Source organism: Homo sapiens, chromosome 1 (assembly GCF_000001405.40).
Source record: "Homo sapiens chromosome 1, GRCh38.p14 Primary Assembly".
NCBI classification, from domain to species: Eukaryota; Metazoa; Chordata; class Mammalia; order Primates; family Hominidae; genus Homo; species Homo sapiens.
In genome coordinates this window covers 228,187,696-228,213,732 of record NC_000001.11, presented here as the reverse complement: position 1 = coordinate 228,213,732, position 26,037 = coordinate 228,187,696, and the positions used below count along the sequence as shown (strand labels likewise).

At 50.0% G+C, this 26,037-nt stretch overlaps 1 protein-coding gene and 2 long non-coding RNA genes across 7 annotated transcripts in view, besides 1 other annotated feature; 1 reads left to right on the top strand and 2 right to left on the bottom strand.

Moving 5' to 3' along the window:
• OBSCN (obscurin, cytoskeletal calmodulin and titin-interacting RhoGEF) overlaps positions 1 to 5,689 on the bottom strand; it is a 170,833-nt gene extending 165,144 nt beyond the window's left edge. For 3 of the 4 annotated variants that reach the window (NM_001386125.1, NM_001271223.3, NM_052843.4), the window contains exons 1-3: positions 5,548 to 5,689; positions 962 to 1,967; positions 23 to 292 (exon numbers count right to left, since the gene is read on the bottom strand). In NM_001386125.1, coding sequence (NP_001373054.1) covers positions 23 to 292; positions 962 to 1,949 — 1,258 coding nt within the window. In that variant the 5' untranslated portion in view covers positions 1,950 to 1,967; positions 5,548 to 5,689. The remainder of the gene's footprint in view (positions 1 to 22; positions 293 to 961; positions 1,968 to 5,547) is intronic. The other variant, NM_001098623.2, reaches the window with a different exon arrangement.
• OBSCN-AS1 (OBSCN antisense RNA 1) lies at positions 69 to 10,227 on the top strand. 2 transcript variants are annotated; one of them, NR_073154.1, is made up of 4 exons: positions 69 to 311; positions 826 to 1,212; positions 3,969 to 4,046; positions 7,083 to 9,258. It is a non-coding gene; the product is annotated as an OBSCN antisense RNA 1 (long non-coding RNA). The 2 variants fall into 2 exon arrangements; NR_073155.1 differs by lacking the exons at positions 826 to 1,212; positions 3,969 to 4,046; positions 7,083 to 9,258 and adding an exon at positions 9,578 to 10,227 and having other exon boundaries at positions 78 to 311.
• Positions 10,153 to 26,037, bottom strand: LOC124904536 (uncharacterized). The gene is made up of 2 exons (XR_007066917.1): positions 18,966 to 26,037; positions 10,153 to 16,165 (listed from the first exon to the last, which is right to left on the bottom strand). It is a non-coding gene; the product is annotated as an uncharacterized LOC124904536 (long non-coding RNA).
• Positions 20,048 to 20,548: an enhancer, noted in NCBI's record as "H3K4me1 hESC enhancer chr1:228380886-228381386 (GRCh37/hg19 assembly coordinates)". NCBI's record gives its function as "activates a minimal SCP1, AML or CMV promoter by ChIP-STARR-seq in primed H9 embryonic stem cells {active_cell/tissue: H9 hESC(primed)}" and the evidence as "EXISTENCE:reporter gene assay evidence [ECO:0000049][PMID:30033119]".

Sequence of the window (26,037 nt, the reverse complement as noted above, 5' to 3'; positions counted from 1 at the left end):
CCCCGTGCCCCGCCCCGCCTGCCTTGGACTGCGAGCTCCGCCACCGTGCGGCTGCCCTCTGGCGTCTCGCAGATGTACACCGCGTCGTCGTCGGCCGAGACATTGCGCACGGTCAGGCGGCGCTCGGTGCCCTCCTCCTCGATGCCGTACTTGGCGCTCGCCCACAACCGCGTCTCCTCCTTGAACCACGCGGCCTCAGTGGACGGCTGGGGCACCTCACATAGGAACGTGGCCGACTCCTTCTCCCGCACCTCCAGATCTTGCAGCCGCTTTTTGAAGGGAACCGCGGGCTCTGCCAGGAGAGAAGACTGGTGAGAGGGGCGGGGCCGGAGGGTGCAGGACGACGGCGGGGTGGGAAGGGGGAAATTGGGGGATTGTGGGCGGGAAAGGAGACTGGAGGATGCAGAGGTGAGGGTGTGGGAAGGAATAGGGGACAGGAGCAGAGGGGCTGGGAGGCTGGAAAGGAGAGGGTGCAGGGTAGAGGAGTGGGCTGGGGAGAGGAGCGAGCAGGAGGCAGAGGGGCTAAGGGTTGGGAAGGGCGCAGGGGAGGAGACAGGAAGTTGGGGGGCGGGGGAGTAGAAGAGCAGAAGGCAGAGTGGTGGAGGTTGGGTTGGGAGCAGCGGGAGGGAGAGGGCGGGGCTGAGGAGGTGGGATCCCCTGCGGCCCCGCCCCTCTCACACCTCTCGCCCCTGTCTGTGGGCCAGCGGTGGCGGGTTGGGGGCGCGGCATGCAAAGGGGGCGGGGCGGGCAGGGGACTGGGTGGGGAAAGCGGGTTGCGGGTGTTTAGAATAGGTCGTGGGGCGTCGCCCGCATTTTGCGCACCAGGAACGGACACCTGCAACCCTGGATTCCACGACCGGACAGACGCGGGTGGGAAACGGCAGACCGCAAGGGCGAAAGGACCCAGGTGCACGGGTTGCGGAGGAGCCTGGGCCCGCGCGCCCCGCACCCAGGAGCTCACCGCGCACTACGACCAGCACAGAGCTGTAGGTCTGGCCCACGAGGTTGGACGCCGTGCAGGTGTAGAGGCCGCGGTCCGACTGCTTGCAGAAGAGGATCTTGAGCACGAAGTTCTCCTGCGCGTCCTCGTACACCACGTGGCGCCGGCCCTCGGTCACCAGCTGGCCGTCCTTCTTCCACACCGTCTCGGGCTTGGGCTCGCCGGTCACGTAGCAGCTGAGGCGCGCGTGCTTGCCTTCAGTCACCGTGCAGGTGCGCGTGCCGGTGCTGGGCGGTGAGGCGGGGGCGCCCTCGGCGCGCATAGCCTCGCGCCGCCGCTGCAGGTGCGCCAGGAGCGCGGCCGTGGAGGTCCCGGGCCGGCTGGCCGTGTCCGCGGCGTCCGAGTCCACCACTAGCGCCGCGGCGGCGCTGGCAGCGCCCAGCGGGTTCTCGGCGCGGACCTCGTAAGTGCCGCCGTCGCGCGGCCGCGCCGCCCGAATGCGCAGCGCACTTGCCTCGCCGAGCTCCTCCACGCGCACGCGGGGGCCGTCGGGCTCACCCAGGCGCCGCCCGTCCTTGGACCAGCTCACTGCCGGCCTCGGGGAGCCACCCACGCGGCAGCGGAAGGTGGCCTCTGAGCCCTCGCGCACGCGGATGGACGTGGGCCGCAGCAGGAAGTGCGGCGCCTGCTCGGCGCACGCGGCCTCCGCGTCCACCTGCAGGCCCACAGCAGCGAAGGCCTCGCCTATGGCATTGCGCGCGCGGCACACGTATTGCCCACTGTCGCCCAGCGCCAGGTCCAGGATAGTGAGGCGGTAGAGGTCGCCGTCCTGGGCCAGACGGAAGCGCGCGCCGGCCGCCACCGGCTGCTGGTCCTTCTCCCAGCTCACCTGTGGCGTGGGATTACCCACGATCTGGCAGCTGAGGGTGGCGTCCTTGCCCACCGACACCACGAAGGCCTTGGGCCGGGTGAGAAAGCGGGGCGCCCCGCTGAACTGTGGCTGATCCATGAGGGTGGCGGCGGGGACCTGCAAGTAGGTGGGGATGGCCTTAGTGGGGATTGGAATGAGGCCCGGGTGCACCCCACCGTGCCGCCTGAGGAACCCAGTTCAACACCTCCACACATCCTATTTCCCCCCCACTCCCCGCGCCCTGAGGAAGCATCACCGGTTGGCACCGTGACCCAGAAGTGCAGACTTGCCCCTTTCTGGGCATTTGGGGTTTGGTAACCTCACCTGCAAACGGCTCTTCTAGCCGCTGAGAACATCTCCTTCCCTCTCCCTACCTACAGGGACCCACTGCCTCAGCTGCAGTTACTGGAGCACATGTCCCAAACCTACACCCCCTAGCAACCAGGCAGGGCCCCCTCCCTCGCAGTGCCCGCTATTTTTGGTTCCTCCCAGCCTACAAGCTTTGCTGCACCTTCCTGAGGCAGGCAGACCTGCCTGGTGCACTGTAGGCCACTCCCTACCTGCGGGGTGGTATCCTTTCTCCTACCGCACACACTGCTGCCTCTCGGGCCTAAAACTTCAGCTGGCCTGTGTGTCCCCCACATCAAGAAGGGGAGGCTCGCTGAGCCCCGGCAGGCCTGGGTGCAGGAGGCCCACCATGGGCACCGGTCTCATGCCCGTCTCCTCTGCCTATCGCACAAGGAGGTCACCGGTTCTCCACCCTGGCAGGCTCCCCTTTGAGCCTCTTCTAGGTGAGATGCACCCTCCGCCCTGGGCAAAGCCCTTACTCCCTCCTCTTCCCCCCGACCCCTACGCAGCTCTCCTTCAGCAGCCCCTCCAGGTTGCACTGAGGGGCCAGTCCGGCCTGAAGCTGCCCTTGTTGCAGAGGGGCCTCACCTCTTCTGCAGGGTCACACACCTCCCTCCTCCCCAGGGGCATGCTCTTTATCCATGAGCGGGAAGGACTGGAAACCACTTAGCTGCTTGCTCCCAGGCCCCCCCACTGAGCCCCAGGGTGGGATTGGGATGCAAGGGCAGGGCACAGTCAGGGATCTGGCTTGGGAGCATAGCTGGGGGACCCCAGAGTCTGGAGCTGGCAAGGCCAGTAACATCCCCCTGGAAGGGCTAGAGACCTCCAGGCTGAGACCAGCTGGGCTGGGTCAGCCAGGCCCAACTTGGTCACCCCACAGTTCTCAGCCACACTGGCCAGCTGGACATGCTGCAGGGCTGAGGGTGGACACCAGTGCCAAAGGCCCCAGGTGATGCTGTCCTTTGACCACCCCAGGCGGAGCCCAGCAGGCCAGCCGCCCCAGTACAGATCCCCCCATATAGATGGTGTGGGTTGACACTACCGTGCCTATGCAGCTCTTCTGTAGGAACAGCGGGTGTGAGTGGGCCCCACTGGCACTGGGCTGGCCCGGGGCGCCTTAACTCCCTCCAGCCCTGGCAGGCACAACCACCCCATGGTGGAGAGGCCCCCGCCAGGGCACCTCGCCTGTACTCTCTCTCAGGCCAGAGCCACCAGCTTCTGGGCCTGGGCTGCCCACTGTGGGCTGAGCCAGGGCAACGTTCCCAGGCCCTCCTCCTGGTCCTGTGATTCAGGTAGTTAATCCCCCTTAATCCCCTTGGGCAGTCTGAGGCTGGAGCAGGGCTGGACTGCGCAGCGGGCACCAGTCTGCTGACTCACTGTGCAGGCAGCACCTATGCTGCAGCCCAGCCTCCCCACCCACAGCAGGGCTCTGGGGCTGGGGAGGACCTGGGCAGGGGCCTGCCCACAGCAGGGACCGGGGTCCGAGTTTCACCCTTTCTGGGAATTTGCCTCTATGGGCTCCTCCCAGGACTCAAAAGGGCTACTTTGACATCAACTCTGCAGGGCCCATGAGCTCTGGGCTGTCCCCAGCACTCTCCAAAGTCATACAGTCAGGCCAGGTGTGGTGGCAAGCACATGTAATCCCAGCACTGTGGGAGGCAGAGGTGGGAGGATCCCTTGAGCCCAGGAGTTCGAGGCCAGCCTGGGCAACATGTGAGACCCCCATCTCTACAAAAACAATTAAAACAAATTAACTCGACATGGTGGCAGGTGCCTGCTGTCCCAGCTACTCAAGAGACTGAAGCAGGAGGATGGCTTGAGCCCAGGAGGTCAAAGCTGCAGTGAGCTGTGAGTATGCCACTGCCCTCCAGCCTGGGCAACAGAGCAAGGCCCAGTCTCTTAAAAAAAAAAAATCATATAGCAGGTCTGTGGGTTCCCCAAAAGCAGAACGGGGCATCCTCTCCCCCAACCTCTGCCACACCCAGATCCCCAGCTGGCCCTGCCAGGGTCACAGTGGAACAGATGAGGCAGCATGTGTGGGTAGCCTCTCTGGGCCTAGAGGACCGGGACAGGTCAGGGAGCTCCCGTTACTGCCTGTGCTGAAGGGACAGAGGTGCACAGGCTGACCTTGGCCTGGGAAGAGCGGGTAGAGACTGAGGTCCTCATCAGCTGCCAGGGACGGCACTATAGCCCTGCATTCTGTCGCCTGGTGCAGGCCCAGGAGGCCGACTGCAGGGTCTGGGGGGCTCATGGCAGCCCCATCAGGAGGCGTCCCCACCGGTCAGCAGGCCTAGGGCCAGAGAGGGGCTCACCAAGCAAAGACACTTGAGGGTTCAGGAGTCATCCTCCTCCCTGACAACCCGTATCACAGATGAAGAAACAGGCCGAGCAGGAAGGGGGCCACCACGGTCACCCGTGGGGCTCCCAGGAATCCATCGGGCACTGGGACATCTGCAGAGGCTGTCTTTTTTCTCTGCCACGTTTTGGGTCTGGGCACCCCACGAGCTTCCCCAGGAGGGGGAGACTTCAGCCTCCCAGGAAAGCCTTTTACCCACCATGGACCACACTTGGGCTCCTCAGCCCCTTGAGGCCTCATTCCAACGCTGTGGGACGCTCCCCCCCCCCCCACCAAACCATGCCCCGGGTGACAGGCCCCACCCACAGCCGCCCACCCCTCAGCAGCCCCTCCACCCTGACTGTTGCAGAACTTTGCCACTCTGGTCTTCCAGGGGCCCGGGACCATCACAGGGAAGAGTCCAGAGTGGGAGGCAGCTCCCAGGGTGCCACCTCGCTGGCCCTCCCCACCCCTACACTGACAGACAACCTGGGCAGCCTGTGCTCCCGTGCCCTTCCAGCATGAAGTTCCAAGGGCAGCGCCCCAGGGCTGTGCTTCACCTTAGACCCCACCGGAGGCTTCAAGCGTTCTGGGGAAATTTTTTCCTGGAGTCAGGTGTCAGCGCCCCTCTGGCTGTCCCCTCTGCTGAGCCAACAGGCCTAAAATAGCCCCAGCTGTCAGCGGGCATCTATCTCAGCAGTGCTGGGGGCAGGGCCAGCCAGACCCCCAGGCCGCTCTCTGAGCAAGGGTCAACTCCGGGGTAGAGGGGACGGTGGGTGCAGGGCACCGCCCCGGCTACCCCGCAGCCCCAGGCCAGCCTAGTGGCTCCATCCCCATGTGAGCAGCCCAGCTCCGGGGCTCAGAGGGAGCAGAGGCTGGAACCCCAGCCCCGCCACAGGGAGCTGCACTGTGGCCAGACCCTGAAGGCTTCCCCACTCCCCAGACATGACCTTTAGTGGAGCCACCCTCCAGGGCACAGAACAGCCCCCACCCTGCCCGGCTCTGTCTCCTCACCTCTCTCTATGGGGGCTCTGGGCAGCACGCAGGCTGGGGGCACAGGCTGGGAGGCAGGGGCTGCCGGGTCTCACCTCCCTCCGAGGGCCCAGGACCAGCAGGCTGCCTACCAGCAGCCCACACTCCGGCCGCTCCTCAAACTGGACGGGGACAAAAGGACAGGCGGACACTGTCAGCTGGAGAAGCCTGGGCCCGCCCCCACCCCACCCCCTGTGCCGGCCAGGCCGGCCCAGCCCAGCCCCAAAATAGCCCGGGTGTCACTGTCCCGGATTCAGTTTCACCCTCGGCCCTGTGGGAGGCAAAGGGCAGATGCTTGGGGCCACAGCAAGGGAGAGGGGGACAAATGCCTGTGTCCTTAGCAATGATGGAGGCCAGGGGTCACAGCCAGGGATGGGGGACCCTGTGTCCTCAGCAGTGATGCCAGCCAGGGGGCAACGGCCAGGGATGGGGAACAGACACCTGTGTCCTCAGCAGTGATGAAGGTCGGGGGCCATGGCCAGGGACAGGGAACACCTGTGTCCTCAGCAGTGATGCAGGCCGGGGGCCACAGCCAGGGACGGGGGGACCCTGTGTCCTCAGCAGTGATGGAGGCCAGGGTTGCCTGTGTTCTCAGCAGTGATGCAGGCCAGGGCCCACAGCCAGGGACCGAGAGACCCTTGTCCTTAGCAGTGATGCGGGCTGGGGACCACAGCCAGGGATGGGGGGACCCCATGTCCTTAGCAGTGATGCGGGCCAGGGGCCGTAGCTGGCCTACTCTCCCCTTCAAACCAGCATCCTGGCATGTGGGGCAGGAAGGAGCCTGGGGGACCCAGGAAGGCTCTGAGGGAGACAAGGGACCACCCCAAGAGGAGCCCAGGATGGATCTTGAGGCAGCCCCAGTACTGCCCCCAGAGGGGACCCAGGACCCACCTGAGGGCCAGCGGTGGAGGGATGGGGGCAGGAGCCTGGTGCACCCTGCTTGGCCAGGCCCAGGCCACTGCCCACCCGGGGGCTCTCCTGGAACACTCAGCTGGGTCTCAGAGTCATCCTTACATGGGAGCACAGGAGTGTCCTGTGAGAACCCAGCCTGACCGGGGGGAGGGACCAGCCCTGGGGAGGGGATGCTGATGGCACCCTGCTTCATACCCAAGAGGGGCTGGCCCTGTCCCCACGGCCCTGGCCAGGAAGAAGTGTGGACCGGGCACTGGGCAGGCCCCAACGGGGGAAGAGCAGCCAGAGAGGGCCACCCAGTGGGAGCCCTGTGCCTTTCCATGGAGGGCCCAGGTCCAGAGGAGGAGCCGAGTCTCTACCCACAGAGGCCTCCATGGAGGGAGGAGGGAGCCAGGACGGCATGTGAGGCGGGACCCTGCACCCCGCACCTGGGGGCATTTATCCTGCGGTGTGCTGCCAACAGGGCCCCAGCTACCAGCACCAGGGAGCCAAAGAAGGGGCCGGCCGGGCAGGATCTGGAGCTGGGCCCAGGAGGACAGCTCAGGCTGTGGCAGGAGGGAGGGTGGGGAAGATGGGGGTGCTCAGAATCTGCTCTGTGCCTCCAGGCTTCGCCCCATCCCTGATCCAGTGCCAGGCCTCTATGTGTCCTCACAGCGTACCTCAGGCTCTTCCGGGCAATGGCCAACATCTCTCATGTGTCCTCAATCAGAAGGAGGGTGAGGGGTCTCTGGAGTAACGGTTATGCCATTCTGCAGCCTTATCTCATGACTGATCACTTCCAAAAGCTCACGTTCTAATCCTGTCACCTTGGGGGTGAGCATTTCAACGTGTGAATCTCCGGGACACACATTCAGTCCACAGCACCAGGGAGAAAGGAAAGGCTGGAAGGAGAGCCCACTCCCCCACCAGGAGCTTGGCCCTGAGCTGCCCCAGCCATGCAGAAGTGTGTGTGCATTGTGTGTGCTCGAATACGTGCCCCACCCCCTCCCGGACAGGGCCGTGGAGGGTGCAGAGAAGATGGCTGTGCGGGCCAGCCCCTTGCAGGGCCTCCTGGACCTGGGAGAAGCAATGCCCCCACAGCCTCCAGGAGTGGCCTGCCCTCCTGACCCTCTTCACTGCTGCCTGCTCCGCTGCATCTCCAAACACCACTGCCAGCCTTCAGGCTGGATTTTCTGCCTCCTTCACAGGACCCCTGTTGTTCCTTATTTCCCTGCAACGTATTTGTTGAAGACAGTGGGATATTCACACTACAGAGCTTCCGGAGGCACTGTGCCCAGGGTGTCCTTCACACCACGGGAGGCCACAGGATGCAGTGGCTGGCCATGGACCTTGCCTATTCCTGGCTGGAATCCACTGCAAAGAGAACTTTCATGGAGCTGCTGTCTGTTCAAAGGGGTACAGGTGGAGGAGGAGCAGACACAATTTCCTGAGGAAAGCAAATGTCACTGTGTCCCTTGAGTTGCCAGCTTCCACAGGGATGTCCCGCCATGAGCCCTCCTCCCAGGGGCTTTCACAGCTGGGTGGGCTGGCATCCTGGGTGCAGTTTAACTGAAGGGGGTGTTCTCACAGCCATCTCCCAAGGCCTGGGGGATGGTGGGCCCGGAGGCCTCAGACCTGCACCTGCTGCCCAGGCGATGGGGTGGCTGGGCCCCGGGTGCCCACAAACTATAGGCAAAAAAAACTGTAAGTCAGTCCTGCAGGGTTTCCTGAACATTTTATGATCCCCAAGTCGTATCTGAACATGTCAAGAATCTCTGGTGCCTTGGCTTGGGTGTAAAGATGAAGTTCTTTCCTCCTCTGTATTCCAGGAGGAAAGAGGGTTTTCATTCCCTTCTGAATGTTAGGAGGGAAGGCATTTTCCATCCTTGACCAGCTTGTAGATGACACACATTCAGCAAACGCACATCCCAGCAGCACCGAGAGAACACACAGGTGTGTCACGCTTTTGCGTTCATAAGGCCTTTTCATGTCAGTATCTTATTAGATATTCCCAAACAAGGGTGTTTTCTCATCTTATAGAAGAGAGGCCTGAGGCTCACAGGGTGAAAACAATTTGCTTAAGCCTGCACAGCAGCTGTGCTGGCAACGTTTCTCCCGGTATAAATGAGAAGCAGCCTTTGTGGCCACAGAGATGTGACTGCTAAGTGCATCGTCCCACCCTGAAGGAGATTCTTCCTCAACAAGAGGACATTAGTGCAAAGACTGATGAAGTCTGTAGTTTCGTGGGTTTTTTTTTTAAGCATAAGGGGTTAAATATTATGTAATTAAGTAATAAGGCAGTTGTGAGGATGCAACTGCCAAAAGTTTGAAAAAAGCTGCCCAGATGGAAATCTGCTTGCATTTGTGCAAGCAGATAGGTGAGGGATTTTTACTGTACTGCCGTGTCCCCTACCTGCCCCAGCTTTATTGAGTTATAATTGACAAGCAAAAATTGTTTATATTTAAAGTGTACAATGTGATGTGGCCTTTTTGTTTTGTTTTGAGACATAATCTTATCACCCAGGCTGGAGTGAAGTGGCGCAGTTTAAACTGCGCAGGCTCATCATCCTCCTTCCTCAGCCTCCTCAGTAGCTAGAACCACAGGTGTGAGCCACCATGCCTGGCTCATTTTTTGATTTTCTTTTTTTAAGAGACAGGGGTCTCCCTGTTTCCCAGGCTGGTCTTGAACTCCCGGGCTCAAGTAATCATCCCGCCTCAGCCTCCCAAAGTGATGGTGTTACAGGCATGAGCTACTGTGCCTGGCCAGAAATGGTAAATTATAATTAAAGGCTTCTGTAAGTCATGCTGTCATATTTTAATGGAAATACCTCCTTTCATTGCAGCTGGGTTGCTTACAAATACACTACTTCAAAGTAAACTTTCTCTAGTAGCATATCAGAAGCAAAGTAAAATCTATTTGGAGCAAGTAAATCTGACTGCTACCCCAGTAAGTTATTGTTTTAATTTTACTTACTTGTTATTGATATATAACTGTACATATTTACAGGGCACATATGATGTCCTGATGCCTGCATACAATGTGTAATGATCAAGTCAGGGTTTATGACACCATTCCCTCAAACACTGATCATTTCTTCACACTCCAAATCTTCTCTTCTAGCTATTTTGAAGCATACATGGGAAGCTGGTTCCTGGACCCCCGCATATACCAAAATCTGTGCATACTCAAGTTCTACGGTCAGCCCTGTGGAACCCAAGCATAGGACAAGCCGGCCCTCCCTATACACACAGGTTTGACATCCTGAGAACACTGCTGGTTCCCTTCCCATTTGGTTCCAGAAAATCTGCGTATAAGTGGACTCAGTGGTGCAAACCTATGTTGTTCAAGGGTCAACTATATATGATGAATTATTGTTACCTACAGTCACTCTACCATGCTACTAAACACTAGAACTGATTCATTTTCTCTGACTGTGTGTCTCTACCCATTAACCAGCCCCTCTTCATCTCCCTTCCCGCTTCCCTCCCCAGCCTCTGGTAACCATCATTCAGTTCTCTACCTCCGTGAAATCAACATGAGTAAGAACTGGTGAAACCCAAACATAGTCTCGAATTTAGCTTTTTTTTTTTTTTTAACTGTAAGAGGCTAAACATTCTTGAGGAGGACACAAAAAAGTCTGAAGACAACTGTCCAGATGAGAATCTTGCACTTGCACAAGTAGAGAGGAGAGTTAGTTTTTATACCATCGCATCCCCAATCCCAGCTTTATTGATGCATAACAAATAAAAATTGTACATATTTAAAGTGTACAATGTGATGCTTTGATATATGTCTACATAGTGCAAATTAGCTCCCACATACAAATGACAACATGCAATATTTCCCTTTCTGTGCCTGGCTTATTTCACTTAACATAATGGCCTCTAGTTCCATCCACGTTGCTGCTAATGACAGGATCTCATTCTTTTGATGGCTGAATAATACTCCATTGTGTATATGTACCATGTTTTCTTGGACATTCAAGTTGATTCCATATCTTGGCTATCATGAATAGCTACAGTGAACATGTACCCTAGTAACATATTGGATAGACACCACACACTTAGGTAGCATAAAACAAAAGAAAGTTATTTTCCTTATATATTAGAAACAGACTAAAGCTGTTTTGAAAAACACCTAATTTTCAAAGTTATTCATGTGTATTAAATTGCACCATAAAAATAACAGGGCCTTTGTCTTCCTGGGATTTTTCTCCTGGGCCTACCTCAGCACGTTCCTCTTTAGATCACATGTTAGGCTACTTTGTAAAGCTGGTCTGACAACAAGAAATGCTATTATGGAGGAAAAGATCTCTTATTTCAATTCTCTTGTTCTCCTAATTTGAAATGGGTTTGTTCATTTTGTTTCTATTTCAAGACCAAGGGGTAGAAGCTCTTGGTTTTTCTGTTTGTGCTGCAAAAAAAAAAAAAAAAAGAAAAAGAAAAAAAAATTCTATTCTATGGTGACAAAACATATTTTTAAAATCATCTATTACAAAATTAGGCAAAGTCACATCAAAAATGGGAAATAAAATGGAAAATCCTACCTTTTTAGATAAGGTAAATTGTAGAGAAAAAAATGATAATTACTAAATACGATCATTTATTTCACTTCTACATGGTAGAAGGTTTATTAAAATAAAGAGTTGGTGCACAGCCGCTGTGGAAAACAGTATGATGGTTCCTAAAAAATTAAATGTAGAATCCCCATGTGACCCAGCAATTCCATCTATCAGTATGCACCCAAAAGAACTGAAAGCAGGGTCTCGAAAAGATATTAGTACACCCATTTTATTTTTAATTTTAAAACATTTTTTAATAGAGATAGGGTCTCACTATGTTGCCCAGGCTGGTCTTGACCTCCTGGGCTCAAGTGATCCTCCTGCTGCAGCCTCCCAAAGCACCAAGGTTACAGATGTGAGCCACCGCAGCCGGCCCACCCATATTTATTGCAGCACTATTCCCAACAGCCAAGAGCTGGAAGCAACCCAAGTGTCCATCAACAGATGAGTGGATGAACAAAAGGTGGTGGATACACACAAAGGACGGCTATTCAGTTTATTTTATTTATTTATTTATTTATTTATTGAGACGGAGTTTCGCTCTTGTTGCCCAGGCTAGAGTGCAATGGCGCAATCTCAGCTCACTGCAACCTCCACCTCCCAGGTTCAACCGATTCTCCTGCCTCGGCCTCCCGAGTAGTTGGAATTATAGGCATGCACCACCACACCCAGCTAATTTTGTATTTTAGTAGAGACAGGGTTTCACCATGTTGGTCAGGCTGGTCTCGAACTGCTGACCTCAGGTGATCCACCCACCTCGGCCTCCCAAAGTGCTGGGATTACAGGTGGGAGCCACCGCACCGGGCCTTCAGTTTATTTTTAATTCAGCTTTTAAAAGCAGGACATTTGTAACATCTACAATAGAGATAATTCTTGAGGACATTATGCTGAGTAAATAAGCCAGGCACAGAAAGACAAAGACTGATTCCACTCCTGTGAGGTCCCCAGAGGATTCATACACATGGAGACAGAGGGTAGAATGGGGGTTCAAGGGCTCGGGTCGGGGTAAGGGGATTGGTGTGTCATGGGGACAGATTGTCAGGTTTGGAACATGAAGAAGCTCTGGAGATGGGTGATGGTGATGGCTGCACAACCACATGAATGCGCTTAATGCCACTGAACTGGACACTTAAAATGGTCAAAATGGTAAATGTTGTGTTCTCTGTATTTTAACACAATAAGAAGAATGGGGGAAAGTGAAGAGCTAGCCACTGAGACAACCAATCACAACACGGCAAGGGCTCGGCATGCCAGGACTCGGTGCCCACTGATCACAAGGCTGGGACCAGTTCCTCTGAAGCACAGGGGTAGCTCTGGCTGAGCTTTAGAAGGAAAATCACGTTGTCTTTGCAAAGGCGAGCCTGTGGTAAGAACCCTGCAGAGTTTGCATCATGAATGAAAAGAGCAGATCTGGGGACAGACACGTGAGACCTGAGTGCAGGAGCGCTGGGAAACCCATCCCCAAGGATGGGACTCTGTAAGGAAGTGGCTTTCTGCTGCAGTGAGCGCATTTCTTCACAATGCCACTGTATGTTGCCTCAGCAGACAGGGTCAGTAATTACCTTGGTTTTGATGTATTTGTGCCTCTTTTAATCTCCCTGATGGTTTCTGAATGTGTTTTTTGTTTGTTTGGTTTGGTTTTTGTTTTGTTTTGTTTCATTTTTGAGATGGAGTCTCGCTCTGTCGCCCAGGCTGGAGTGCAGTGGTGCAATCTAGGCTCACTGCAACCTTCACCTCCTGGATTCAAGCAATTCTTCTGCCTCAGCCTCCTGAGTATCTGGGACTACAGGAGCATGCTACCCACACCTGGCTAATTTTTGTATTTTCAGTAGAGATGGGGTTTCACCATATTGGCCAGGCTGGTCTCAAACTCCTGACCTCATGATCTGCCTACCTCAGCCTCCCAAAGTGCTGGGATTACAGGCATGAGCCATCACACCCGGACCTGAATGTGGTCTTAAAGGCCATATGTCTAGCATGTCACACATGCATAGGAAAAGTCTATGCCTCATTTTTAAATCCTACCTGTGCCAGAGAAAGCCAAATCTGAGATGCCCATCAGCTTCACTCCTAAGATGGTGTGAAAGCATCATGAGCAGAGGGCCTGGCCTTTAGTGACACCCAGCCCTATCCCTTCTGTGGGGAGGTCAGCCATGCCTGGCTCCCGCTCAAACAGGTATGTGTGTGTCTTTAGAAAAATAGTTGCAGAATCTTACTGGAAACCAAGTCTGCACACCACCAAGCCTTGTCACGGAGCTCCCAGTCAGATACTCCACAGCTGGGTTACTGGAACAGTTCAGGGTCTGTGGAATCATAGGACATGTATATCTGGGTCTTTGATGCAATCCAAGAAGACCACAGGCTGCCACTGCCCAGAAAACTGACTCCAAGATTTGCCAAAGGGGAAAAGAAGTTCACAAGGAGAGAAAGTTCTAAAGCGCTCCCCATAGGAACTGACTTTATTTGAAATAGCACATGGGAAAGGAAGTTCAACCCTAAGGGTGCTCTTGAAAACAACTGTTCCTCTTACTTAAGACCAACAAGCTCAACCTCAGGCCAGCTAGTTCACCAGAGGAACTTCAGCAGGACACAGCTAAGAAGAATGTCCTGGGTCAAAACAAACCTCAAAGACTGGGTCAAAATGACCCCCATGCCTGGTTTATTCACTCAACATAATAACCTCCAGTTCCATCCGTGTTACTGCAAATGACATGATTTCATTCTTTTTGATGGCTGAATTATATTCCATTGTGTATATATGCCACATGTTCTTTATCCATTCAGGTACTGCTAGGCACTTAGGTTGGTTCTACATCTTGGCTATTATGAATACTGCTGCAATAAACATGGGGGTGCAGGAAGCCCTTTGATATACTAATTTCCTTTCCTTTGGATAAATACCCAGTTATATGTATCACTAAACAAATACATAAGCAAACAATTGAAAAAGAAATCCAAGAGAGGGAGGAATTGAATCAGAATCCAGAGTTGATAGAATATATTGCCTGAAATATCCAGTTTTCAACAAAAATTAAAATTACGAGGCATGTAAAGAACAGGAAAGTATGACCTATACTGGAGGGAGAGGGAGAACAGACAACATAAACTGTGAGAGGATCCAGATGTTGGACTTTGCAAAGGCTTCAAAGCAGCTATTATAAATATGTTCAGAGAACTTAGGGAAACCACACTTAAAGAAGCAAAGGGAGGTACGATGATGATGTCTCATCAAATACAGAATAAAGAAACAGAAATTATAAAAACAACCAAATGGAAATTCTGAAGTTGAAAAGTACAATGTATGAAATAAAACACTCAATAGAGAAGCTCAATGGTAGGTTTTTAACTGGCAGGGAAAAAAAAAAGAGTCAGAACTTAAGGATAGATTGATAGAGATTCTGCAATCTAAAAAACAGAGAGAATGAAGAAAATGAACAGAGCCTTAAAGAAATGTGGGACACCATTAGGCACACCAACATACACATGAGAAAACCAGCTCCTCACATACAAGGGCAGCCCACTGAGATTAACAGCTGATTTCTCATTGGAAACAATGGATACCAGGAGACAATGGGATAAAAAAAAAAACAACAAGGCAGAGTGATTCAGCATGTAAACGTTTCTTGTCCAAAACAAAATTAAATGACTCTGATGATCTGGAATTCCTACTTTTGTGTGTTTAACTGCTCATCTTTCCCTCACCCAACCTTGAGCACCATGTGGGTACAGGTAACAAAGCACAGACCTCCTGAATCATTTCTTCTCACCAAAACAGCAATTAAAACAGAAACTTTAAAAAATCTCAATCAGAACATTAAGTACAACATGCTTAAAATTATGTTAACATGATTCATGTTAGTGACCATCATTAAAACTGATTTCAAATTCTGAAAGATGCTTTAAACCACCTGCTGGTGAGGACTGGGATATTGTTGGTTGACTTTTAAAAATTCTCTCATGGGTCCTTACTGTTTTCTCAATGTTCAAGATGAATTCAGTTGCAATTATCAACTCAGGTGAAAATCAAAAAATGACCAAACAGTTTGATAAAGGGTTTCATGAAGCAAAGCCTGTGTAAGAATTTTTAGGCCGGGCATGGCGGCTTGCGCCTGTAATCCCAGCACTTTGGGAGGCCAAGGTGGGCAGATCATGAGGTCGGGAGATCGAGACCATCCTGGCTAACACAGTGGAACTCCGTCTCTACTAAAAATACAAAAAATTAGCTGGGCGTGGTGGCGGGCACCTGTAGTCCCAGCTACCAGGGAGGCTGAGGCAGGAGAATGGTGTGAACCCAGAAGGCAAAGCTTGCAGAGAGCCAAGATCGTGCCACTGCACTCCAGCCTAGGCGACACAGTGAGACTCTGTCTCCAAAAAAAAAAAAAAAAAAAAAAAGGATTTTTAAAAATGTAAAGTGCAGGAATTTTAATAATCTATCCTGCATCCACTGAAATAAATGCCAGAAAATGCATATAAAAATTGGCCCATCGCGCCACTGCACTCCAGCCTGGGCGACAGAGCGAGACTCCATCTCAAAAAAAAAAAAAAAAAATTGGCCCATAGTATTTGCCAAATCTTTGAAAAGGCTATGCAAAGTCTTTTTGCCATGTCCAGGGAAAATGAACCTCTGGGAACCCTTGTCTCAGTGTCAGCAGCATGGTTCTCAGCCTTCTCCCTCCCTGTCATAATTTAAAATTAGAGCCTGTAGAGCCTGGTGGTCACATGGAACACGGTGATTCCTCCTGCCCCCAACAGCTGCCATGTCTCCCTGGAAATGCTAAGATTAGGACAGCACAGATTCCTAGAGTAAAATTAAGGGCCACAATTAACTGGGTGACTTAATTTGGCAATCTTGCAATTCCATTATGATTAGAGAGTGGCTCTTCTCACTGCCATGACTGCTACAGAGTGACTCAGGGCCACCGCTCACTCTGATCTTTCTGAAGAACTTCAAGATCCCAGTTCATGTTCTCCTGGACATTGGGTTCTGAGGGTCAGTTCATGCAACATCCCGTCATTGTCTTCTTGTCCCACTGCTGTGTTGGGAGATGCCCTGGACAGAGTCATTTGTAGAGCACACCACTAAGCTGTCCAGGGCTTCCATGTGGCCACTGCTAGCTCTTCAATAGCCAGCGCCAGGGCTAGCACATCTAGAAGAGTCAAGAGAACAGGCCATTAAGGACAGTGTGCAGAGAAAACAGTCCCAGCAAGAAACAGTCTCTACTCTCTAAGCATTGACTCTTGAATGTGCTAAGAACCTACTCAGGAAGCTGTAGTAATTAAGACAGTCACTCGGGGTTAGAAAAACAGGCCAACGAAAGTAAAGAGAGCCTGGAAACAGGCCCTCACACATTTAGATACCAAGGTGACCCTGTGGAGGAGTGAGAAAAATGTTCTGGATAACAAGATATCTTTTATTTCTTCTAAAAAGAAAGAAAACTGGAGTACTACTTCACACTTATCATGGGTTGAGTGGTGTCCTCCCAAAAAGATATGTTGAACTCCTCATTCCCAGAATCTGTGGATGGGACCTTACTGAGGGACAGGGGCTATGCAGATACAATGAAGTTAAGATGCTGTCCTCAGGGTGGGCTCTAATCCAACCACTGGTGTCCTCATAAGAAGGAGAAATTTAGTCACAGAGACAGACATACACAGAGATGAGATGATATAGAGACAGACAGGAAGAGAGTGGCCATGTGAAGACAGAGGCAGAGACTGGAGGGATGTGGCCACAAGCCCAGGGGCACCTGGAGCCACTGAGAGTTGGAAGAGGCAACGAAGGATCGTCCCCTGGAACCTCTGAAGGGACCATGACCCTGCCCACCCCTTGATTTCAGACCTCTATGGAAGAGTAAAGTCTATTTTTTTAAGCCATTCAATTTGTGGTTATTTATTACAACAGATATAGGAAATAAATACAATGCCATACACGAAACTCAAGCTGATTAAACGTGGAGTTGCCATATAATCCATCACTTCTACTGCTTGATAAATACCCAAGAGAATTGAAACATATGTCCACACAAAAATTTATACATGCTTGCTTGTCCACAGCAGCATGATTTACAATAGTCAAAAGATGAAAACAACCCAAATGTCTATCAACAGACAAATGGATAAACAAGATATGGTATATTCATGCAATGGAATATTAGTAAGCCACAGATGGGAATGAAGTATTGATCCATGCTACAAAATGGATGAACCTTGAAAACATTATGCTCAGTGAAAGAAGCCAGACACAAAAGGCTATATACTGTATGCTTCCATTTATATGAAATATCCAGAAAATGTAAATCCATAAAAACAGGAAGTAGACTGATGGTTGCCAGGGTCTGCAGGGGGAGTAGGGGATGGAATTTTTTAAAATTAAGCTGAGATGAATTTTAAAACTCAACTGGAAAAAAAAGCAAAACAAACTCTTTTAGGATACAATTGAGAACATTTTCAAGCAAGTATTTCTTCAACAAGACACACCAAAAAAACACATATCCCAAATAAGGAAAAAAATAAATTTAATTACATTAAAATGTAAAATGACTATCCAACAAAAGACACCAAAAACAAATGTTGAAAAAGATGTCTGTTACACAGGTGACTTACAGAAATTCTTACCCATGCATTACGATACAGATGCAAGAATATTCAAGGCCAGGCACAGTGGCTCATGCCTGTAATCCCAGCACTTTGGGAGTCTGAGGCAGGAGGACTGCATAAGGCCAGGAGGTCCAGACCACCCTGGGCAACATGGGGAGACTCTGTCTCTACAAAATAAGGTTTTTAAAAACAGAATATTCAAGACAGCTGATGGTGGCAAAAAAAAAAAAAAAACTGGCAACAAACTCAATCACCAAGGGAAGAATCAAATGAATCACAGGACAGGTCTGTCAAAGGTGGGGGCAATCACAGGAAAAAATGCAGTGGACCCTCATGCACTGATGGGGGATGACACCTGTATTACTCCGGATTCTCCAGAGAAACAGAAACAACAGGAGATGGATATAAGTGTCTCTCATTGGTTCTGTATGAACCAGTAAGATACATGATACATGAGATGGATGGATGGATGGATAGATAAGATAAATAGATGATTGACAGGTAGGTACAGAAGATTGATAGATGGATCTAGATAGATTGGATACATGGATGGAGATGGATGACTGACAGATATTGATAGATAGATGACAGACCAACAGACTGAGTGATTATAAGGAACTGGCTCACACGACTATGGAGGCTGAGAAGTCCTAAAATCTGCGGTCAGCAGGCTGAAGACCCAGGGAGCCCACAGTACCATTCTAGCCTGAAACTCAGCAGGCTCAAGATCCAGGAAGAGCCAATGTCTCAGTTTGTGTCCAAAGGCAGGAAAAGACCAACGTCCCACCTCAAAACATTTGGGCAGGAGGAGTTCCCTCTTACTCAGCCTTTCTGTTCTATTCAGGTTTTCAACTGATCGGACAAGGCCCACCCATCTTTGGAAAAGCAATCTGCTTTACTCAGTCACTGACTCAAATGCTAATTTCTTCCAAAAACATCCTCACAGATACACCAGAAATGATGTCTGACTAAATGTTTGGGCATCCCGTGGCCCAGTGAAGCTGACACGTAAAATTCACCATCATGACACCTGTACCCAGCATGGAAAGGCAAGCTGCAGAACATCGAGGGTGCAACCCCAGCTAAGCTGGGAAAAGGGCTACTTGAAAGTGTTGTGTGTGGATATAAGTGTGTGAGTAGAGACATCTATGTCTGCAAGCACAGATGCATCTGGAGGTGAGCACAGACTGCTGACCATGGTGACCTTCAAGAAGATGGAAAATGGACAGGCTTCTTACTCCATGTGCTTCTGTACTGTTAAATTTTATTCAACAAATACACATCCCATTTCCAGTTAAAAAATAACAGGTCCCAGCTGGGTTGAGGACAGGAGCAGCCTTAAACACTTACCGAGCAGCAAGTATAAGGAGCTGATCAGAGCAGCAGAGCAGTGGTTCTCAAAAGTGTGATCCCAGCAGCCTGTGGGTCCCTGGGGCCCTCTTATGACCCCCGAGGTCCCAGTGGTTTCCATGGTGATGCTGAGGTATTGTTTGCCTTTGTCATTCTCACTCCATCATGAGTGTAGAGTTATCTCAAGGATGCAGGACTCCAGTTCAGAGGATCAAAGCTAGATGTTAAAGAGATTTGCCCTCATGATCCAAACACCCCCTACCAGGCCCCGCCTCCAACACTGGGGACTACATTTCAATGTGAGATTTAGTGGGAACACAGATCCAAACTGTATCAAATGTTATAAAAATAAATTTGAAAACAGGTGATATGGACAAGTTCCTCGAAAAACATAATCATCATTTCAATTCATACTCCCCAAAACTGATAAATTTCAACAAACTTTTGTGATTTAAAAAAAAAAAAATCTTAGCAAACTAGGATTTCCAGTTATAAGAACTTTCTCAACCTCAAAAAGAGTACCTACCAAGAAATGTCAACAACCACCAGACCAAGTGGTAAAACAATGATGAACTTTCCTTTAAGATCAAGAGCCAAGTGAGGCACCAGCACCCCTGTTTAACCTGACCCATCAGAGAAAGGAATGGGAAAAAAACTAAACATTTATGGATTACCAAAAACAAACAAAACTGTCATTAATTTAAGATCATATGATTGTCTAAAGTAAAAGCCCCAAGCTACCTATATAAAAATAATTACTAGGAACAATTAAAATTTAGCAAATTTATTTCTAAACATCAGTAACAAAAAATTAGATAAATGCAATTTCGCAAGGATGCCTTTTGCCACAGTATTAAAATTATTTTAAATAAATACATTTAACAAAAGATATATAAGGACTTCAGAAAAATTATACAAACTTTGCAGAATTAAAGTAGGCATAAATAAGCGAGAGACGGCCAGGCGCGGTGGCTCACGCCTGTAATCCCAGCACTTTGGGAGGCCGAGGCGGGCGGATCACGAGGTCAGGAGATCGAGACCATCCCGGCTAAAACGGTGAAACCCCGTCTCTACTAAAAATACAAAAAATTAGCCGGGCGTAGTGGCGGGCGCCTGTAGTCCCAGCTACTTGGGAGGCTGAGGCAGGAGAATGGCATGAACCCGGGAGGCGGAGCTTGCAGTGAGCCGAGATCCCGCCACTGCACTCCAGCCTGGGCGACAGAGCGAGACTCCGTCTCAAAAAAAAAAAAAAAAAAATAAGCGAGAGACATGTAATGTTTTTGGACTTGAAAACTCAGTAACACAAAGACATCAGTTCTCCCCAACTTGACCTACACATTTAATGCAATGCTGATCAAAATGCTATTGTGTGTGTGCATGACTATGTGTGTAAACAGGCTGACTCGAAAATTCACACAGATAAGTCAAAATGTTATTTGAAGAAGACCTTAGCTTGTGATAGCATCATGCCAGTTACTAAGAATGATCCTTATGGTACAGTAATTAAGACATCACGGTACCAGCACAGAAGCAGACAAACAGACAGGGTGGAGCAGAATGAGAAGTCTAGAAAGAAACTCACACAGGTGAACGCATGGAGTCTGACCAAAGTGGCACCCTGGGTCAGTGGGGAAAGACGAACTTTCAGTGAATCGTGTTAGGACAGCTAGTTATGTCAACCAGAAAATGTTAATTCCCACCTCACACCATACATCCACACCAACCCCAAGTAGATTAAAAATCTACAGAAGAAAGGTCCAGGCCAGGCGCTGTGGCTCACACCTGGAATCCCAGCTCTCTGGGAGGCCAAGGCAGGCAGATTGCTTGTGCCCAGGAGTTCAAGACCAACCTAGACAACATGGCGAACCCCCGTCTCTACAAAAACTACAAAAATTAGCCAGGCATGGTGGCGCAATGCCTGTGGTCCCAGCCACTTGGGTGGCTGAGGTGGGAGAATTGCTTGAGGCCAAGAATTTAAGGCTACAATGAGCCATAATCACGCCACTGCACTCCAACCTGGGTGACAGAACGATACCCTCTCATTCATTCATTCATAGAAAGGTATAACTACAGAAGTTCTTATCATGAGGTTAGGGCGGGGAAAGAATTTTTAAGCAAGGCACAGAAAGCACAAACCTTAAGAAAAATAAATAAAAGTTCACTGCACTGGAATTAAAAACTCCTGTCCCAAAAGACACCATTAAAGAAAGACAAGCCTCACACTGATAGAAAATACAGGCAATACATAGAACTGACAAGGATACGCAGATAACGCCTACAAAATCAGCAAGAAGGACAAGGGACTTGGAAAGGCCTGGGACAGGAAAGAAACGGGTGTGGCCAATACACAGAGGGACAGACGGGGCTCAACCCATTCCCAGTCGGGAAATTAAATCCAAGAAACGCCTCTGCTGACCCGTCCACCTGGCGCCTGGGCTGCAGGCCGTGTGTCCACAGGCCATGTGCCCGCAGGCTGTGTGCCTGCAGGAGGAATGCAAACCCTCACCACTTGGTATCCCCTCGCAGCGGCCCTCCATTCTCTGCAGCAGAACGCTTATTGGGGACTGCAGGGAAAAAAGCGTCATTTTCCTCCACTAAGGACAGTTTCTGAACAGTGCCCCCGCCCTGCCCCACAGTGGAAGACTGCAGACCCAGCACCCTATGGGCCCCCAGCCGGGGGTCCTTCCTGGGCTGGTTGGGTTTGGCCTCGAGTACATTGCGACGCTGTGAGGAGGGCCAGTTGCGACACTGTCAGTGACTGCTTGAAAACGGAATGAACTGTCTGTCCACCCAGGTGATGTGAGTAGCACTACTCACAATGGACACGAGGTGGAAGCAGCCCAGGCATCAGATGAATGGATAAACAAAATGACAAACAATCTGATCTTAAAACGGACAAATGACTCAAACACTTCTCCAGAGAAGACACACAACCAACCAAAAAGTACATGGGAAGGTGCTCAACATAGTAACTAGAGAAATGCAAATCAAACCACAATGAGAAATTACCTTGTACCAGGCCAGGCACAGTGGCTCACGCCTGTAATCCCAACACTTTGGGAGGCTGAGGCAGGTGAGCTTGAGCTCAGAAGTTTGAGACCAGCCTGGCCACATGGTGAAACCCCATCTCTACTAAAAATACAAAAATTAGCCAGGCATGGTGGCACACGCCTGTAGTCCCAGATACTCAAGAGGCTGAGGCAGGAACCTGGGAGGCAGAGGTTGCACTCCAGCCTGGGTGATAGTGTGAAACCCAGGCTCAAAAAAATAACAATAATAAAATAAAAAAGAAATTACCTCGTATCCATTAGGATGGCCACTATCCAAAAGCAGAAAATAACAAGTGTTGGCAAGGATGTGGAGAAACGGGAATGCTTGCACACTGCTGCTGGGAATGTAAAATGCTGCAGCTATAATGAAAAACAGTATGGAGGTTCCTCAAAAAATGACACACAAAACTCCCACATAATCCAGCCATTCCACTTCTGGATAGATACCCAGAGGAATTTTATTCTATTTTTGTAGCAGTGGGGTCTTACTATGGTGCCTGGGCTGGTCTCAAACTCCTGGCCTCAAGTGATCCGCCCATCTCAGCCTCCCAAAGCGTTGGGATTACACATGTGAGCCAACATGCCCAGCCTTGCCCAGAAGAATGGAAAGCAGGGTCTTGAAGAGATATTAACACACCCATGTTTACAGCACCACTATACACAGTAACCAAAGGTGGAAACAACCCACATGTATACCCACAGATGAATGGATAAAAACAATGCCGGCCATCCACACGATGGAATAGTATTCAGCCTTGAAAAGGAAAGGGATGCTGACACGAGCTATGACAACATGCTGAATGAAATGCAGCAGACACAAAAGGACAAATCCCATGTGATTCCACTCATAAGAGGCCCCTGGAGTCGTCACAGTCACAGAGGCAGAAGAGAGAATGGTGGTTCCAGGGGCTGAGGAGGGTATGGGGAGTTGGTGTTTGATGGGAACAATTTCAGGCTGGGAAAACAAAGGAGGTCTAGAGATGGGTGGTGGCTGCACAACCCCGTGAATGTGCTGAATACCACTGAATGAGACATTTAAACATGGTTTAAAAGGGTACTTTTTATGTGTATTTCACCACAATTTTTAAAAATAAAAATTTTTTAAACTAATTTCTCATATTTCATCAATTCTGAGAACTCTTCCTCCTGCATTCCAGCCAGGCACATGGGACATGCCTCTGTTCAATGCCACCCCATGGTCACCATCAGACACACAGGGCTCCGTTCTCATGGGCACTGGTACGTCCCCACCCAGAGGCCTCCTCAACTGACCCCGAGTGAGCTGAGACCACAAAGCTGGGCTCAGACTCGCAGGGACTCGTCGGGAGAACGTGGCTGCTCCCTGGTGACCACAGCCTCAGAAACGCAGCCAAATGCCCGGGACTCACGTCCGGGACTCATGCCCTGGAAGCCCATCCTGTTGTATCAGAGCAAAATGAACCAGAGAAGCCGCTGGTTCAGAAGACGCTGCTCTGAGATTTCTCAGAAGGGTCAGGGGAGGAAGGTCAGCGTTCACATTAAATTAATTCTCCCAGCTGTAACTGTTGGTCCTCTGCTGGACCATGGCCACGCCTGTTATTGTCCCTGATCTGAATGCTGGGTGAAGGAAGGGACCATGATCTTGCCCACAACGCCTGGGCCCCACAGGTTGGCTCTCCCCATGCAGAAATAATAAGCAGGGCCATGAGGCATGAGGACCAACTCTGGGGCACATGGCCAGGACATAGGCCACAGGGATCCAGAGGACGTCCTGAGAGTTGTTGAGGCCACGTGGCACTCCAGTTCAGCCACGGCCACACAGCCCCAGTCTTTTCTTACCTAAAGACCACAATACGGTCACAGAGGGGCTTTGTTGGCAAGGACCCCATAGGGATGCTGCCTATCTGGTAGCACTTCAAGAATCGGAGCCTAAAAGAAAAGGAAGACTGTGTCATGGATCTTGGGACTCCACCGGGGCCACACGGGAGCCATGAAGAGCCACGACTATTACCTACTTCACAGAATAAGCCAGTGCTCCCCAAAAGGATCTACACACTTAATTCAATTCCTATCACAATTCCAGCAAGGGTTTTCATGGGCATAGACAAGCTACTTCTAGAATTTATATGGAAAGGCACAGGCACAACAGTTGCTAAAACTATTTATTTTTTTGTTTCTGGGGCTTTTTTTTGTTTGTTTTTTGTTTTGTTTGTTTGTTTTTCCTGAGGCAGGGTCTCACTCTGTCACCCAGGCTAGAATGTAGTGGCGCAGTCTCGGCTCACTGCAGCCTTGACCTCCCGGGCTCAAGCAATTCTCCCACCTCAGCCTCCCAAGAAGCTGGGACTACAGGTGTTTGCCACCATGCCAGGCTAATTTTTATTGTTTTTGTTGTATTTTTTTGTAGAGACGGGGTCTCACTATGTTGGCCAGGCTGCTCTCGAACTCCTGGGCTCAAGCAATCTACCTGCCTCAGCCTCCCAAAGTGCTGGGGTTACAGATGTGAGCCACCACCACCCCCAGCAGCTAAAACCATCTTGAAAGAAAAGGAAGTGGGAGGAATTGCTGTACCTGCTGGTGAGTCTTCCTACCGTACATGGCCACAGAAACAGGGCAGTGTGGCATCCACTGAGGGACAGACACACATATCAATGGAACAGAATAGAGAGCCCAGAAAAAGCCCCCTCAAATATGCAAGACTGATTCCTTTCTATAAAGGTGCAGCTCCAATTCAGTGGAGAAGGGCAGCCCTTTCAGCAAATGGTGCCAGAGCAACTAGATACCCACAAAAGGGAAAAAGTGAACCTCAGCCTAAACCTTGCTGCACCTTATACAAAAATTACCTCCAAATGGATCATGGCCAATAGCAAACAATCTGAAAAAGAAATCAAGAAAACAATCCCATGGATAATAATAGCTACAAAGAATATAAAATACCTAGAAATCAATTTTACCAAAGTGAAAGATCTATAAAAGGAAAACTATAAAACACTGATGAAAGAAACTGAAGGGGACACCAAATAATGGGAAGATATTCCCTGATGATGGATTGGAAGAATTAATATTGTTAAAATGACAGTACTAGCCAAAACAATTTACAGATTTGATGCAATCCCTATCAAAATACCAATGACATTCTGCACAGAAATAGAAAAAAAATCTTAAAATTTACATAGAACCACAAAAGACCCAGCTAAAGACCGAGGATAGCCAAAGCTATCCTGAGAAAAAAGAACAAAACTGGAGGCATCACATTACCAGACTTCAAACTATACTACAGAGTTATAATAACCAAAACAGCATGGTACTGGCATAAAAATAGACACATAGGCCAATTGAAACAGAATAGAAAACCCAGATAGAAATCCAACCGTTTACAACCAACTCATCTTTGACAAAGGTGCCAAGAACATACACTGGGGAAAAGACAGTCTCTTCAATAAACTGGATATCCATATGCAGAAGAATGAAACTAGACCCCTATCTCTCACCATATACAAAAATCAACTCGAAATGGATTAAAGACTTAAATGTAAGAACTGAAATTATGAAACTGCTAGAAGAAAACATTGGAGAAACTCTGCAGGACATCGGTGTGGGCAAATGCTTCCTGTGTAAGATCTCAAAAGCACAGGCAACGAAAGCAAACAAGAAGCTAAAAAGCTTCTGCACAGCGAAGGAAACAAAATGGAGAGACAACCCACAGAATGGGAGAAAATATTTACAAACTACCCATCAGACAAGGGAGTAATAATCAGAATATATAAGAAGCTCAAACAACTCAACAGGAAAAAAATATAGTAATCTGATTTAAAAATGGGCAAAAGATCCAAATAGACATTCTTCAAAAGAAGACATACAAATGACCAATAGGTATACAGAAAAATATTCAACATCACTGATCATCAGAAAAATGCACATCAAAACTATACCAAAGTACCATCTCACTGCAGTGAAAATGGCTTATATCTAAAAATATGGTATTTATACACATCATTATATACACATTATAAAGAAACTATAATCCCAGCACTTGGGGAGGCTGA